This window comes from Homo sapiens, chromosome 5 (genome assembly GCF_000001405.40).
Source record: "Homo sapiens chromosome 5, GRCh38.p14 Primary Assembly".
In the NCBI taxonomy this organism is placed as follows: domain Eukaryota; kingdom Metazoa; phylum Chordata; class Mammalia; order Primates; family Hominidae; genus Homo; species Homo sapiens.
Window position 1 is genome coordinate 180,237,371 of NC_000005.10, and position 16,701 is coordinate 180,254,071.

Genomic DNA, 16,701 nt, shown 5'->3' on the forward strand with positions numbered 1-16,701 from the left:
AACGTGAGCGTTTCATTTAGTAAACAGGAAGAATCCTTCAGACGTAAGTGAACACGACTCATATCAGAGTCTCATGATCATACAACTACCTGGTCATTAGAGGCTTCCACCACTATGAAGATCAGTAGATCAAGCAGAAAAATGGGAAAATGATATCAACAATTTTCTCAAAAAGAATACCATACTCCATTTTACTTAGATTGGCATTTTGGGTGGGACCAGTACAAAGGGTTATCAACATTGAAAAGGCTTTAAATTCAATTTCTTCATCTGTAAATGGAGGTGACAGCAGTTATTGCAAAGATGAAAGAGAAATGCTTATAACAAAGTTCAGTGCCTGGCACATCAGTAAAATGTCATCCACCACCACCACCACTATGACAAGCCAAAAAGGCTGGCTATTCATACAGCGGTTTTTAAATCTGATGCTAGCCAGGCTGGCATTTCACATGTTGCTGCCATTTATAAAAGTTGAATCGGGAAAGACGCCAGGTGCGGTGGCTCACGCCTGTAACCCCACCACTTTGGGAGGCTGAGGCGGGTGGATCACGAGGTCAGGAGATCGAGACCAGCTTGGCCAATATGCTGAAACCCCGTCTCTACTAAAAATACAAAAATTAGCCAGGCATGGTGGTGCGTGCCTGTAATCCCACCACTTTGGGAGGCTGAGGCGGGCAGATCACAAGGTCAGGAGATCGAGACCAGCTTGGCCAATATGGTGAAACCCCGTCTCTACTAAAAATACAAAAATTAGCAGGGCATGGTGGCGCGTGCCTGTAGTCCCAGCTACTCGGGAGGCTGAGGCAGGAGAATTGCTTGAACCCAGGAGGCGGAGGTTGCAGTGAGCAGAGATCGCGCCGCTGCTCTCCAGCCTGGGCGACAGAACGAAACTCTGTCTCAAAAAAAAAAAGTTGAATAGGGAAAGAAAAATATCATACAATCAATTAAAGCAATCACTAACCTGAAGGCTGATCTTTTACAACACCATTCTTGCTTCTTTCTTCCCAATCCATGACTTCTTTGTAAATTAGCTCTTTAATAAAAATACAAGTTAAAATGCTTAATCAGTTTCTAAACAGTTTCACTGTATCTCTAAACTCTGCTTCCAAATCAACTGGAACAAAGGCATTGCGATTTGTTATTTTTAATTGTAAGACAGAGTCAATTCAGTAATATAGTCTACCTGGACCAAAATATTCATATTTTGATACATTATATCTTTTCTTTTCTTCTTCTTCTTTTTTTTTTTTTTTTTTTTGAGACAGTCTCATGCTGTCATCCAGGCTGGAGTACAGTGGCATGGTCTTGACTCACTGAAACCTCCACCTCCTGGATTCAAGTGATTCTCATGCCTCAGCCATCCAAATTGCTGGGATTACAGGTGTTCACCACCATGCCTGGCTAACTTTTGTAGTTTTTGTAGAGACAGGGTTTCGCTATGTTGGCTAGGCTTGTCTTGAATTCCTGGCCTCAAGCCATCTGCCCCACTTGGCCTCCCAAAGTCCTGGGATTACAGGTGTGAGCCACTGCGCCTGGACTACATTACATCTTTTTCAATGCAACTAGTAAGGCAGCAAAACATGTAGGGTGGTTCTGGATCCATAAGGGGGCTTTATGAAGTGGAGTGGCTCCCACAGAACACTGTAGGGGATTGGATATTCTCACACCCATTTGAATATGTTTCTCTATGTGGTTACTTGGGGTTCTCCAAAGGTAACCAGCACCCACATGTGGGCTAGGAGCCCCCCACACTGGCCAGAAATGAATCCACAGGCCTAAGTCTTTTCTTAATTTCAACTTCGGTTTTCCTCAACTTTCATCTGTAAGAAAAACTAATTACCTACGAAGTAAGTGATGAGGGATTCCTAAAATGTCAGTATTCATAAACCAACATTAGCACGTTGCAAGCATTCGCTGAGGCCAGTGAGCATTGACTGAGGCCAGTGAGCACGCTGTGTGCATGCACTGCTGAGCACGGGCACACACAGGTAACCGGCACTCCCACACCCCAGGATGGCCCTGGGGCATGACCCTCATCAGTGTTGACTGACTCTGACTGTGGTTCTCAGTTACTACTGATCCTGCTTCTTAATGAAAAATTGTTAGTTCAACCTCTTCATTACAGGTATAGTTTGTTGTGGGTTGTTTGGTTAATCTTATAGTGGTAATAATACCTATTTGCATATTTTCAATCTGCAATTTCCCCCAAACTAGATTTTAAAACATATGTACAACTACATGGCTTAAAAACATATCAATCAATATAAGTATGATACAATTACTAAGCTCAGTTTATAAATCAATATGTGAAAAGCCATGAAAAAAATATTATTTTTCCCTCTTGAAGCAAATGATAAGAAATTCATAAATGTTCCTCTCTAACTCTGTTCTCTTCAAGTTCATTTTCTACTGGAAACTGGGGAGAAAGAGGCTAAGTGGGTCGCAGGGTTTCTTGCCCCTTCCTGAAGGGAAATGTCACAAAATGAAAAGCCTCTGCTCTACAGGATTGGAAGAAATGTCAAAAGGAAGGATCAAAATAAGCTCCATCTTTACCTTTCCATTCTTCAATTGCATGTTCTCTTTCTTCCAACTGGGCATCATAAATTTGAGGTGGTGGCTAAAAATTAAATCATATGTAAAGTCAACAGTAATGCCTCAAAAAAAAATGAGGCACTAAAAAAGGTAAAATTGCTTGGAAGACTTCTAGTCTATTTATGATATGGATTTAGTTTAATTCAACACGTGGTTTAATAAAGATTTGTCATGTGATATTATATCAACTTTAGAATCAAAATAATTATGAAAAAGTTAACCAAAGAAGAGTTATTATGTTCCTCTTAATAATCACCTGACCTCAAAACGCAGACATCTGCCCAGATGTCATTAGAAACTCATCATCACAGGCTGTTTCCCAGAGACCCATTATGGACAAGGCACTGTGCTGGCAGCTATGGAAGGTACTGTTGTTTCTTAGAACAAATTTTACATTTTCTTCATGGGAGAACTCCCAAATCCAATGTCCAACTCATAAATGGACTGTTATAAAAGTCTGCTTATAAATTGGATTCTTTTTATATAAAACAATGTTTAAACTGATGGCAAAACCACAGGCCATGACATAAACATGTATTTCACTCATGGCATGAAGGAAGCCTGCCACTACGCAGTGATTTCCCTCACAGCTAAAGCTCACTCACACCAGTGCTGACACAGAAACACGCACGTGAGCACCAAACTCAGAGTGGAGCTCCTCCAGCGGGGGAACCAGGAGCTACAATGCCTTTAGGGAAGGATAAACAGACGTGTGATTTTTCAGCAAGTTGCTCAGCCTCTCTGGTTAAGTGGCCTAAACAAGAGGATGTAACCAAAGCCAATGGCACAGAATAGATGCTTAATAAACTATGAGCTCACAGCAGCATTTGCAAAATGGAGACTGGTAGCACCAAAGCGGAAGTTCATTCCCGAGGTACTCTGAGCTGGGGCTCCAGCAGCAAAAGAGCAAGCGACCCAGGTCTCAGACAACACTTGGCCTTTCTGTAACTGGGAGCCCCCAAATGGAGAACTTGCTACCCATATGTAGCCACTCTGGACGGACAGACAAGATCCAAGGAAATATAAGCCTGGCCTCTCTATATAAATCTTTTCAAAACAGATACTCACGGCTTCTGCTTCGGCGGGGTCATACCAAACAGTGATGTATGGGTGACGCAGAGCTTCGTCTACAGAGATCCGCTTGTCAGGATCAATCACTAACATTTTTGATAACAGATCTCTGGCTTGACTTGCTAGGGTGACAACAAATATTAAATTAATGCTGTTAATATGAAACAAACAGAATCATACAATAAAGAACTAAATATGACAACACAGATAGAACAAAGATATATTAATTTTGAGAAATGTTTGATAGGTTCAAGATGAATATAACCCAAAATTTTTTTTTTTTTTTTCGGAGACGGAGTCTCGCTCTGTCGCCCAATGCAGTGGCGCAATCTTGGCTCACTGCAAGTTCCACCTCCCGGGTTCACGCCATTCTCCTACCTCAGCCTCCCAAGCAGCTGGGACTACAGGCGTCTGCCACCATGCCCGGATAATTTTTTGTATTTTTTTAGTAGAGACAGGGTTTCACTGTGTTAGGCAGGATGGTCTCGATCTCTTGACCTCGTGATCCGCCTGCCTCAGCCTCCCAAAGTGCTGGGATTACAGGCGTGAGCCGCCGCACCCAGCCATAACCCAAACATTTTTAAGAAAAAGTCAAATGTCCACTTTCATGACAAACCAGGTTTCCAAATGTAGTTTTACGCCTCTGGATCTGCAAGGGGAAGAGAAACCTGGGCTCCCAGGGTGGTGGGGAAGAGCACCAGGCAGCCTCAGACCAATGTCTGGGCAGGGCCCAAGGCTGGGAAACCACAGCAAGGAAGGTGGCAATTGCCGAGCTGCGGGTGGCACTGCCCAGAGTGTGGGCATGAGGCACGGGGGAGTATTTTTCTCTAAGTCACATCGAAATGAAATTAGAACAGACTTTTCAAACCACACAACAATCTCACATTCCCACAGGATAAAACACTCACAGATGCTTCTGGCTGGCCTAGCTGTATACAGTGCTGGCAACTTACACTTTTTTTTTTAATCTACAGATTGGTATTTAGGAAAAAGAAAAACAAGTTCAATAACTTAGTTAAATATAAGGCTCACCTAGGTTTTGTCAATTAAAGTTCACAACCTGAATAAGCAAAGACTGGGGCTTTTCTGATTAAGGCACAGTTTACCTTCATGCGGACAGAATCAAATCTTTTCTTTTTCCTTAAACAATCACACTGTAGTAAAGGGTGCAGGAGAAGGTGGGGAGGAAGGACCTTTTTCATCGAACAACTGTCACATCGCTTCTGACTCTAGAATCTGCATTAAGTGTTCTTCTTACCTGAAAACTTTTTGAATTCCAGTTGCTGTAACTGTAACATAAGATTCTTTCAGACTGATTTGATTATTTTTATTTTGGCCAAAGGCTTCAATTAAGCCGTCTTATAGAGGATAAAGCTTCTAGACCTTTAAGCTTTCTCTCCTCAGTGCCTTCGTACCTCAGACTTCAGGCCTAAAATGACTTTCTCTCCCAAAACACAGGTTTTTAGAATACAAACATGAAAGAGTGAAAGCACCACCTGAATTACAAAACACAAGTATAAGAAAAAAAGGATATCTTACTTTTTATTTTGTCTCGCTCAGATTCTGATGGGAATATCCAATCTGGAAAGAGTTCTTCAAATTTGATTCCAGGATACTTTGGTCTGTTTTCGACATAATTCCTCACAGTTGGCTGAAGTTTCTTCATGAACTCTGCTGATGGTGTTCCCAGCTGCTCAATAACTTTATTCCACTGATCAATATCTAAGGAGTTTCTTGAGGAAAATACAACTGAAGTACCTTGTATTCACAGTACATGCGGCAGCATCACTTGAATAATATTTAAACCTATCGACTAGGCCACCCCACTGGATCAGCAGCGGAATTTTGAAATAATATTCAAATAAGGTTTGGGTTTCCAAGTTACACTATTTTTTAAAACTCTCACACTCTGCATCTTCATAAACTATGATCACAGTTTATTAAATCAACACAATGAAGTCTACACACCTTCCCACTCTAGTTCAAAATAAAGTTTATCTTATAACTAAGAATACCTATAGCAAAAATGATTAAACACGAAATTAGATAAACATTACATAAGCAAATTGAAATCAGTTTTCATACTAATGCTACCTTAGATTCATTCACAGCTCTCTAAAGAACAGAGGATCTCAAGGGACCTGTGGAGAGACCTATCTGACCTCCTCAGTTTACAGCTGGGAACCAAGCAACTGGGCTTAGACTGAGCCCAGCGACAGCTTTCAAATGATGCTCTATTTTACTTGGAACTGACTCTTCCCAACCATCACTGCGATCCCTAGGTAATGCATTTTATTTCCTTTCAAAGTGCGTGACCTGGGTTTCAGACTCAACTCTGCATTAAACACTCAGTGTGTCAGGAAAGTCAGGCTTCCTTGGGGTCTGTTTCCTTATTTGTTCAATGCAGACATTACCAGCTTTGCCTATTCCACAGGGTGCTTGTTAGGCTTGGGATAATTAGGATTACATGTGGGAAAGTGACACTGAAACTGTACTCGCTATACAAGAGAATGCAAGTGAGAAAAAAATAGCATCAACAGCAGCTTAAAAAAGTGCTCACTGAGGCATGTCTTAGAAAAATGAACTTACATCACCATGAAATAACCTAGGGAACTGGTACATGAACTCAGTTCTTCCAAAATGTTATACTTCCAAAAGACCCGCTCAGGAAATGTGTTTCTGGCATTCAATTCACTAGCAAATTCTCCTTCCTACTCCTGGTTCATACATATTGTCAAATCAGAATTATGCCCACATTTTATTTACCTATTTAGCCAAAATGTGAAAACTGTCTCACACCTTTTCCTTCTGCCATATATACATATATAAATAAAGACAGAGTCTCGCTCTGTCGCCCAGGCTGGAGTGCAGTGGCATGATCTCGGCTGACTGCAACCTCCACCTCCCGGGCTCAAGTAATTCTCGTGCCTCAGCCTCCCAAGTAGCTGGGACTACAGGCACCTGCCATAACGGTCGGCTAATTTTTGTTATTTTTAGTAGAGATGGGGTTTCGCCATGTTGGCCAGGCTGGTCTGGAATTCCTGGCCTCAAGTGATCTGCCTGCCTCGGCCTCCCAAAGTGCTGGGATTATAGGTGTGAGCCACTGCGCCCAGCCCACCTTATACTTTTGATACCTCTTCTGCCTGCTCACTCCCACAGACTTCCCAGGATGCACCCACCCAGCATCTGTGTGCCATTTGCCACACAGCAACCATCTGGGCTCCCGGCTACACTAAGCCTGCTCAGCTCTAGACCCTAACCCCCCTGACTCAAGGACAAGCTCCCTCAACTCTTCCTTCTCCAACATCATCGACATTTTGCACTCTACCAATACATTCCACCACGTTGGTAAATGATGGTGTTTTCTCCTATGTTAACACAGTAGCTGCTTTCCTTTGGCCCTACCTATCGCTTTATTTCTTATTCCTATTTGCAGCAAAAACTTCCATAAAGAGCTGTCGGTCGGGCTCAGTGGCTCACACCTGTAATCCCGGCACTTTGGGAGGCCGAGGCAGGTGGATCACAAGGTCAGGTGTTCAAGACCAGCCTGGCCAAGACGGTGAAACCCTGGCCCTACTAAAAATACAAAAATTAGCCAGGCGTGGTGGCGGGCGCCTGTAATCCCAGCTACTCGGGAGGCTGAGGCAGAAGAATCGCTTGAACCCAGGAGGTAGAGGTTGCAGTGAGCTGAGATCGCATCGCTGCCCTCCAGCCTGGGCAATGGAGTGAGACTCTGTCTCAAAGGAAAAAAAAAAAAAAAAAAGGAAAGAAAAAAGAGCTGTCTACACTTGTGTCTCTAATTCCCAGCCTCTCATTTTCTCTCAAACATACTCCCATCAGGCTTTCTTCCCTCCACTCCATAAATGCTGTGCCCATCATGGCTGCCAGCAGCCATCACAAGGCCCAGGGGCCAATCCCCCGTCCTCATCTCCTCATGTGAATGAGCCTCCCTCAGTCACCACACTCTAGGAGGAGGGGTCACGTGAGTGCCTTCTCCATTTCCTTCCCTATTCCCTTTGTCCCTCCACCTCAAGGGGGCTAAGTCCCGGGTCCTGGTCTCTTCCTCCCCTGCAAGTGCTCGCTACCAGTCCTAGGCTTCAAGGCTACCGACAGACGGATGACACCCACTTTGATCTCTCTATCCCAGACCTTGCCCCTAAATTCCACTGTCTAACAGACATCTCCAAACCCTAGCAAGGCTCCTTGAAGGGTCCAGCTTCAAAGCAGAGTACAAGCCCATCTCCCCGGCCACACCCCTACCCGCCTGCTGGGGGCCTCCACCTCTCCTCTGGATGATGGCAGCCTCTGCTCTGTTCTCCTGCTCTGCCCTGCCCTTGACGATCCACCCTCAATTCAGCAGCTGGGAGGAGCCTCTTTGCATCTCAGTCAGACTAGGCACCCAGAAATGGGCAGGTGAGAGAAATATCTGCTGGGTTAATGATAAAGGACTAGAAATTAAACCAGTTGTGAGAGGAGACCCACAGATTCCCCGAGAGGACTCCACCCCAGCATCCTACAGGTGGGAGGGATGGGGGACAGATGAGAGGGACGGGGGAAGGGGAACAATAATTCCGACAAGCCCAGTGGACCCTGTTGTCTAACTCTCGTGAAGCTGCAGGCAGACCACAGGTCTATTTTACAGAAGGGGAAACCAAGGCTCAGAGAGGCCCTAAATTTCTCAAGGATGCATGGCTGCCAAGGGGAGGAGTCTGAGCTGGGGCCCGAGGTGGCCGGGCTAAAGCTTTCTCTTTCTCATAGACCACCGCAGGGACAGGAGTTCCTTTTCTACCCTGGGTCGCAAATTAAAGCAAATCTCTGAGACCCTCAGTCTGATTTCTGCAACTTTTTTCTATCTCCCAAATTTCAATCTAATATTTGAAAGAGTTGGCAAAATTTTCTTTAGAAAATGATGTTAAACTCTGTGTGGCTTTTGGGAATAACATTAGGTAACCTTATATATAACACTATTAATTACTGACATTAATGTTCATATGTATAGCAGGAATTTTAATTTTACTTACTAAAATGCACCAAAAAGTACTCACATTTTTCATTTTTGTACTTTTTGAAGAAAACATTTTGTAATAAAACAAGGAATGGCACAAAATGAGTAAGAATTGAGACAAACTGAACATTAAGTAGATATTTCTAAATTATTAGTCTTTTAATTTTTCAACTTTTCCCTTTTTAATTAAGTTTACTTGCAAAATAAAGACGTCCTTATTTATAGGTTGCAACAAGTGAATCTGAGATGAGGCTATGGAAACTGCTAGAAAATTTAGTAGAACAAATAAAATAACTTGACATATTATATAATCTATGATATAGAAAATGTAAAGAAAGGTAAATAAAATGAGAGAAATAAAAATATTTTCACTTTAAGTTTGCACTGTGAAGAATTTATAAGGAGACCACTTTGATAAAATTATTAAAATCTGAAATTATTTTCCTAAGATACATACAAAACACTGACTATGGAGCTTGATTTCCTTAAAAGCAACCATCAATCTGCCCAAGGATGGAGACCAATTTAAACTTTCATAACGAAAACAAAGTCAAAGACTAATGAAAAACTAAGTGGTTAAAACACAAATGAAAAAGGGAAGATGTGAAGAACCATGTTAGGGTAAAAAATACTGAGGATGGAAGAATGGCAAATGAGGAAAGAAGGCTATTGTAACAATTAGAGTAGTTATTCTCCTTTCTGCTGTATCTCTAACATGACTTGCTGACTACAGTATGAGTTTATCTCTTTCATTTTACATTTATTTTGACTTCCCCAGTGTGTCACAAAATAACCCACTAGACAGATTTTTAAAAAAAATTCTACAAAATGTCAGCACAGTAACAAACAAGAAAGTTTAACATATTGTTCCTCACAAAATTTTCATTTTAATCTCTTTCACTTAGGTCCTTTGTAATGTGCTTCAGTTCTTACTTTGGGGGAAAATATTTCAATGCATACCAGTAACTAACAAAATAGTACTTAATTAAAGCACACAAGCACACTAGCCTATTAAATTTAGATAGCATCTTTCCTAGTTAAATTAACGGAATAAACTAAATAATACAGTATTTTCATTTAAATATCAGAATATACTTATCAAAGAGTAAATAATTTCTTCTATGTGTCCAGCTATTTTTGGCAAAATTAAGAGCTAATATAATCGGTTTAACTGAACTCTAAGTCTCAAAGTCATCACAGGTAGTCAAGTTAAAAATAAAGAATGAAATTGAACCACTTGGCTTGTGACACTAATTAACAAATACAGTAAAGCCCCCCTTAGAACACAGTCTGGAGTGGATTTTACGACTTTGTCCTCGTGAGCGCTCGTGTAAGCAGGTGGTCATGCTGCCTGAGGCATTAAGAAAGCATGGCGGGGCCAAGGTCGCGGGGAAGGATACGGTCAGTGCCTTGGAATATCACACAACCTTTCACCAGCTCTCCCATGATGCAACCCACTGACCAGATATCAACTGAAAATAAAATGAAATGATAAAATTATGAAGTGCCATGAACAAAACAAAAGTGAGGAAAAGGAATTCTAACAGTGCACTAAACACACAAATATGGAAAAATAAATTGCTAGCTAAGGGTGACATTTTACACAATATGAATGATTGCTGACCTCTATTTTAGCCTTCGGTTTGTAGCAATCTGGGGTTTTAGTGCCAAAGAGTCCAATACTTTATAGCTTAAAACAAACAAACAAACAAACAAAAAACCAGAAACAAGAAGTGCCTGTGAACACAAAGCTTTTCAGGGCCACACGCCCACCCCAGCCTCCATGGCCAAGTACCGGGTCCCCTGTGAAGGATACAGTCTCTTCCCGGGAACAGGACTTTATGGAGGACCATTTCTGCCATGATGCACCCGACAGACCAGATGTCCACTACCAAACACCAGGGGATTAAAAACCAGCTAGAGTCCCCCATCTTTTTTCTTCAAACCCCCTCCCAGGACAAACCCGGTACACGTCACTAGCTTGCCGGCGGGAGCCTCTGTGCGTTGTTGATACCACACCTCCTGAGCGATCATTTTCTAGACTGCCCCGTCAGAAAGGCAGCAGCACTCACTGGCGGCACAGGCTGGCTGGCTTGCAGGACTGCAGGTGAGGCCCTGCTAGAGGGGCCCAGACTTCCACGGTGCCCACCCTCATCTGTGGGGCCTCAGACAGACAGCAGAGGCCTCTAAGTGCCCTGCTGGCGGGCCGAGGGGAGAAGTGAACAGGGGATCAAGTTTTCTCTCCCCTCCACAGGAAGCACATGAAGCTGTGCCCCTCAGGGTGGGAACACAAGCTACAACGCAGCAAGATGAACCTGTAGCAAAACTCATTTCAGATGACCCGGGCAAACTTTCAGTCTTTTTAAAAATAAGTAAGCGTGATTTCGTTATTTTCAACAAATTTGCTAAAAGCCAAGTTTCAAAGAGCTCTGATATTGCTAGAATAAGCTAAGTTTTGATGTAAAAAGACACCAATTTTACATGAAAACATGTGTTATTCTATTTACATCAAATTCAAAAAAACAATATGCAGACCAACAAATAAAGCTGATCCATGGTACTGGAGATCAGGAGATTGGCCAGCCTCGTGGGCTGCGAGGAGGGGCCATGGGGAGGCCAGAGCTGCTGCTGCTGTGGGTGTGCTCACCTCAGCTGAGCTGCACACTCAGGATTTGCACACTTGGCTATAGACAGCTTAACTCTGATTAAAAAGTTCAAAAATAACAATTTTAAAAGTGAATTTTTAAAAGAGAATGATTTTAACCAATGGAAAAACACAATTAATTATTTCTTATCTCTGGATCATGCTATATTCTGGGTGTAACAGTCCCCACAGTATATATCATATGGTTCAAAGGAAAGAGAAAAAACTCGAGACCACCGCTAGAGCAATTTCTAAACATCCCAGCCTCTTCCAGCCCCGGCTATACTCACCGTTCTCTTTGTAGCCCATACCCAGGATGACTTCGGGCGCCCGGTAGTACCGTGTCACCACGTAAGGGGTCATCATGAAGTTAGTGCACGCTGTCCGGGCCAGGCCAAAGTCAAGGATCTTCAGGGTGCAGTCTGATTTCACAACAATGTTGCTAGGCTTCAAATCCTAGGAAAGAAATGGCTTAAATTAGTAAAATGAATGAAGCATGCTAAATAAACTACTTCACATCCGTGAGGGTCGTGAAGCCAGTGTGAGAGTGTAGGGAGTGAACTGAACTCTGAGATTTGGGAACAACTTTGGAAAATCTTACTCTCAAATTGAAACTAAAACAAATCAGCCTAAAGCCGTCAGATGGTGCCCCTTACCCCCAGTGGAAACCTTCATGGCCCCCATTTGCCCTTTCTGTGGTCTCGCAGGCCCTCAGGCTGTCCTATCTACCCTCCATCCATGCATCTACACGTCCAGCACACATGCCCCCCTCCCGCTCTCCACGCCTGGACTTGAGTTCCCCAATACTCTGACTCTCTCTTGCTAAGGTCCTCATGCTGTCAGTCCAGCACACACGGCCCCCTCCTGCTCTCCACGCCTGGACTTGAGTTCCCCAATACTCTGACTCTCTCTTGCTAAGGTCCTCATGCTGTCTGTCAGTCCAGGGCAGTGCTGTCCCACAGACAATGTCATATAATGCGAACGATGTGTATAATTTACATTTTCTACTAGCCATGCTCAACAGCATGCAGAAATAGGTGAAATTAATTTTAATCATACAGTATATTTTTTTAACCCAATATATCCATAATATTATCATTTCAAAATGTAATCAACATAAGAAAAATACTGAGATATTTTACATTCTCTTTTTAGTACTGAGCCTTTGAAGTCCAGTATGTATTTTACAACTGCAGCACGGCCACATCCTGAGTGCTCCACAGCCTCCTGTGGTTAGTGGCTGCCATACTGGACAGCACAGGTCTAGAATCGTCTGATCCTGGAATCTTCCCATGGCTCTTTCTCTCCTTGGAAGAGCAATTCCATGATCATCCACCTCCAATCTTCTCACCTTCGCCACAAAGACACGCCAGCACTGGTGCTGCTGTCTCCATCTGTACGTGGCACAAAAACTCACCTGCTCATGTTCTGGTTGCCACCTCTCTTCCCTCCCCAGTGCTGACTCTGTGTGAGCTCTCAGCACTCAGAAGCACGCCTGGCGCGAGCAGACACTTGGGAAGTGTCTGCAGAATGAAGACATGCATCATATTCCACCTGACTTGCAAAGCCTTAACACAACTTCTGCAACCTTTTCCCTCATAACTAAGGGATTTTCTTCCTGCTGATCCTCCACCCTAGCCCCTTCCTCAGGCCTTAGGAATTTGACTTTTGCCTGGGGACTTCGGCCTGCAAACTCACTTGAGAAACTGTGACTTGTAAACAACCCACACCCATTCTTTTCACAAGAGTAGTGCACCTGCAATGTCAAACTGCCAAGCCACTGACATGGCGTAAGGCATGAGGATACTTTACCCAGGAAGTTGCAGGTTCAGTAGCACTGCCTAGCACCTGCCTGTAAGACACCCCAACTGATGGGCCACAAGGGGGGTTGCAGGCGGCATGCCTCAGTGAAGGCTGTGGGGCTGTCATCAGGGCAAGCAGGAAGCCATTTCGACATTGACAACAGGTACAATTACACTGCCATGCTGCTAAGTGACCTGTTTCTAGGCTTCCTAGATTCTGTAAGATTTAAATGATAAACATATAATGTTTAAAAATGCAGTCACAATCTCTACCTGGCCCCAAAAAGAGGCCCCCAGCCCCTCCATTCCACCTTAGAGTACTGTGCAGACACCCCCGGTTCCCAGAAAGGCCTGAGAGGAAGAAACCGGGCTGCCTCCCTGCATGAAGGAAAGCCAGGGAGAAGCAGCCCACATTCAACCAGGGACGCTCCGCTGTGAGGACCAAGTCAGGGAGCTAAGACCAAATGAACGAATTCGCTTCTTGTTTCCTTTTTTAAAATCAAAGAGTATGACAAGAACAGGCATTTTAGAACATAAATTACTAACAGATAAAATAATGCTCAATCTCACAAAAATCTTCTTTAAAAACCCAAAATGAATGCCCATTTTTAGTCTATCACTTGGCAGCGATGGAAAGCAAGCAGACTCGGTGCTGGCGGGAGAAGCAGAAACAGGCGCTTCCTCAGGCCACAGAGGGTGTGCAGTGGGCACTTTCTCTCCAGGAGGCTGATTTCTGAGGTGTGAAATGCACACACTTCCCCAGCCAGCAGGCCCTGAAGCCCAGCCCACCCAGAACTAACAGCACGGCCGCAGGAGCAAGGAAGACAAGGACAGCCTGGTTCTACCAAGGACAGACGCAGCAGTGGAACCATCTCCACGGGCTGCCTGCCAGCTCTGTGAACCCCAGTGCGCCAGAAACACGCTCATCTGAAGACACTGCCATCTGTCAAAAAACTGTCATCACATACTAATTTAACAGGAAAAGCACACTTTACTGCCGTCTGCTGGAAGACTGTGGTGATAAAGTCCCAAGCTTGTGTGGGTGCTCTGTGTGGCCAATGGGGAGGTGGCTAAGGAGGTGCTCTCCCCGCACCCTGGGACCCTCTCTAGTCACCCCCGAAATACAACCTGAGGCAGCTTCCCAACACCTCACTTCAATTTCAAGACAGCAGAGGAAAGACAGTTCTGCCCCTTCAAGTCTTGAAAATCACTCAGAACAAAGAAGACAAATGCCAAGTACAGATCCAAGTGACGCCTGGATCGGGGCTTGGCTCCCAAAATGCCTGGAACCCAACGCTACCCTGTGGGCAGCAGTGAGGGTACCCACAGCACCCGCAGCATGAGTGGGGCAGGTGCTGACCTCCCCCACTGCCCGCTCAACTCTGGGATCCAGACCCACTGCTTGAGAGGTATCCCAGGAAGGAGCACATCATGACAGGTGTCCACTGTCTGGCCTTGCCGGTCCTTCCCCACAGGTACCTGTGGCCACCCACCGGGTAAGAACAGCCAGGCACTCTTGAGGATGAATGGACACAGCTCTAAGTAGACACTGAAACCCGAAGACCCCAAACACTCTCAGGGCTCCTCCACTTGCAGGGTTCGTGGGGTCAGGGGTCAGGGGTCAGGGCATAAGTGAAGTCTGGGCCAGGTCTCTTGCGGCCATGTTATGGGAGGGTGGGAACGTTAGCAAAGGCTTAGAGCAAGGCTGTGAGAGAACATTGCTGTCCAGCCTGCAGCAGTGTGGGCGCTGTCTGGGCCTCTCTTCTAATCAGTGTGGAGGATGCATTTGCCCCATCAACATGCCAGACCTGAGGCCTTATTAATCTGCTCCAGCAACAACTGCACCTTGACATGCACAGCAGCTGCGGCCAGGACTGCCAGTGCCGTAAGCCTGTGGCCGTCTGGGGTCATTCTCCAGAATCCATGCAGCTTCTTCAAGGGCTGGACTAACGAGTTAGACTGGGATGCAAGATACCACTGTCTCTGCTCCCCTGAGGCTTCCATGGTGGCCCTAGTCTCCTCCACCCACCCCGGGCCCTGCAGGGTGTGATCTTGTTTTTGATTTACTATCTTGGGGGCAGTTTCAGGTTTCCATTTGGCCTTCCCACTGTGACGACTCTTACTCACAGGCCAAGGAACTCGTGTGGGCGTTACTCCACCTGCCAAGCGCCTCCGCTCCGGCTACACACTGAGGACTGGGGAGACGGCCACTGGGTGGCCTGGGACCCTGTGGCCCACTGAGAGCCACCAGACACAGACGGCTCAGGAATGAAGGCCTGGGACACAGGCCAGGCAAGCCACAGAGGCCTGCCAATGTGAGAGCTGAGGGTATGAATAACAGGAAAGGGTAGGGAAAGAGCCAGCAGAGAGACCACAGTGACAGGGACTACAGGGTGTCCCACTAACCTCTGTCTTCCAGATTTCCCCTGAGGAAGAGAGAACCATGGGCGCCACAGGAAAGCCATTCCCAACTTATGTGGAGAAGTAGAGCTGAGGGGGCCAGGGTGGACTGTGGGGTCCACGGAAATGCACTCCTTGGTCTCCCGCCACAGGAGTGAGAGTGACAGATGGCCCAGTGTGGTGTCTGCACCTACCCTCTGTCCCTGCCAGGGCACACCTCCCACAGAGCCGTCAGCCAGGGGCCGACCGGGCAGGGATGCTGAGGCAGGCCCGTTCCTGTGTGACACCGGAGGCCCTCAGAGCTGCACCGCAGTCTGGACCAGGCCTCTGAGGGGCCAGGACTGCACTACGTTCAGCTAGCATTTGCTGCCTCCTCTGGCTGCTCCCCCTTCCTTCTCGCACAGGCCTCCTCCCGGCCAGTCCCTCGCCTGTCTAACCCACCGTGGCATGCGGAAGCCGCCCACGAAAAGCCCCACGCTACAGGGACAGGAAGCTGCAGGGCCGCCCAAATGCCCTAGCTGAGCGAAGGAAATGCCAACCTCTATAAATGGCCACGACACCCAGGAAAGGCTCAGCAAGTGAAATGCAGGTGCTATGGAGGCAGAAGAGGCAAGGGTAGCACTTGGAGAAGTTTTCATTTTATTGAAAGTCCAAGTACGTAGTAGATGTCCCAGATCCCCATCTCCATCCCAGAAGTGAGGCTCCACTCCTTCCTCACTCCTGCTGGCCCTTCACGCAGAGAAACTGATGCCCAGCTTCCAGGTGCAGGGCCACAGGCGCCGCATGCACAGTCCTGTGGGTACCAACAGGGAAGGCACGGTGAGGCCTGCCTGCAACAGGGCTGCCTGGTGAGTTTGCGCTCTGCCACATGAGAAGCACAGCCCTGTACCCCAGCAGCCAGGCTTACATCCCTCCACCAAGGGACTGAAGGGGCCTTTTCCAGAGAAATTAAATGGTGCCCAGAGAAAAAACCTACAGAAGGTGACACCTGTGGCTGCCTGTGGTCCAAGAGACACCCATTCTTTAACAATTTACCCATTCACTCAGTACTTCCAGTCAGCCTTTAATGCTTCAATCTCTTTTTTTTTTTTTTTTTTTTGAGACGAAGTCTCGATCTTGTTGCTCAGGCTGGAGTGCAATGGCACTATCTCAGCTCACTGCAACCTCCGCTTCCTGGGTTCAAGAAA

The 16,701-nt window shown here is 45.7% G+C and overlaps 1 protein-coding gene across 15 annotated transcripts in view; it reads right to left on the minus strand.

Moving 5' to 3' along the window:
- MAPK9 (mitogen-activated protein kinase 9) overlaps nt 1–16,701 on the minus strand; it is a 58,941-nt gene that overhangs the window by 4,228 nt on the left and 38,012 nt on the right. For 7 of the 15 annotated variants that reach the window (NM_002752.5, NM_001364608.2, NM_001364611.2 and 4 more), the window contains 6 exons: nt 11,603–11,768; nt 10,069–10,140; nt 5,203–5,385; nt 3,661–3,785; nt 2,554–2,617; nt 962–1,033 (listed from right to left, as the gene is read on the minus strand). In NM_002752.5, the coding sequence (NP_002743.3) occupies nt 962–1,033; nt 2,554–2,617; nt 3,661–3,785; nt 5,203–5,385; nt 10,069–10,140; nt 11,603–11,768 (682 nt within the window). Of the gene's footprint in view, nt 1–961; nt 1,034–2,553; nt 2,618–3,660; nt 3,786–5,202; nt 5,386–8,649; nt 10,141–10,292; nt 10,359–10,484; nt 10,557–11,602; nt 11,769–16,701 lie in introns of those variants that run through there. The other 8 variants (NM_139070.3, NM_001364613.2, NM_001364609.2 and 5 more) reach the window with 3 other exon arrangements.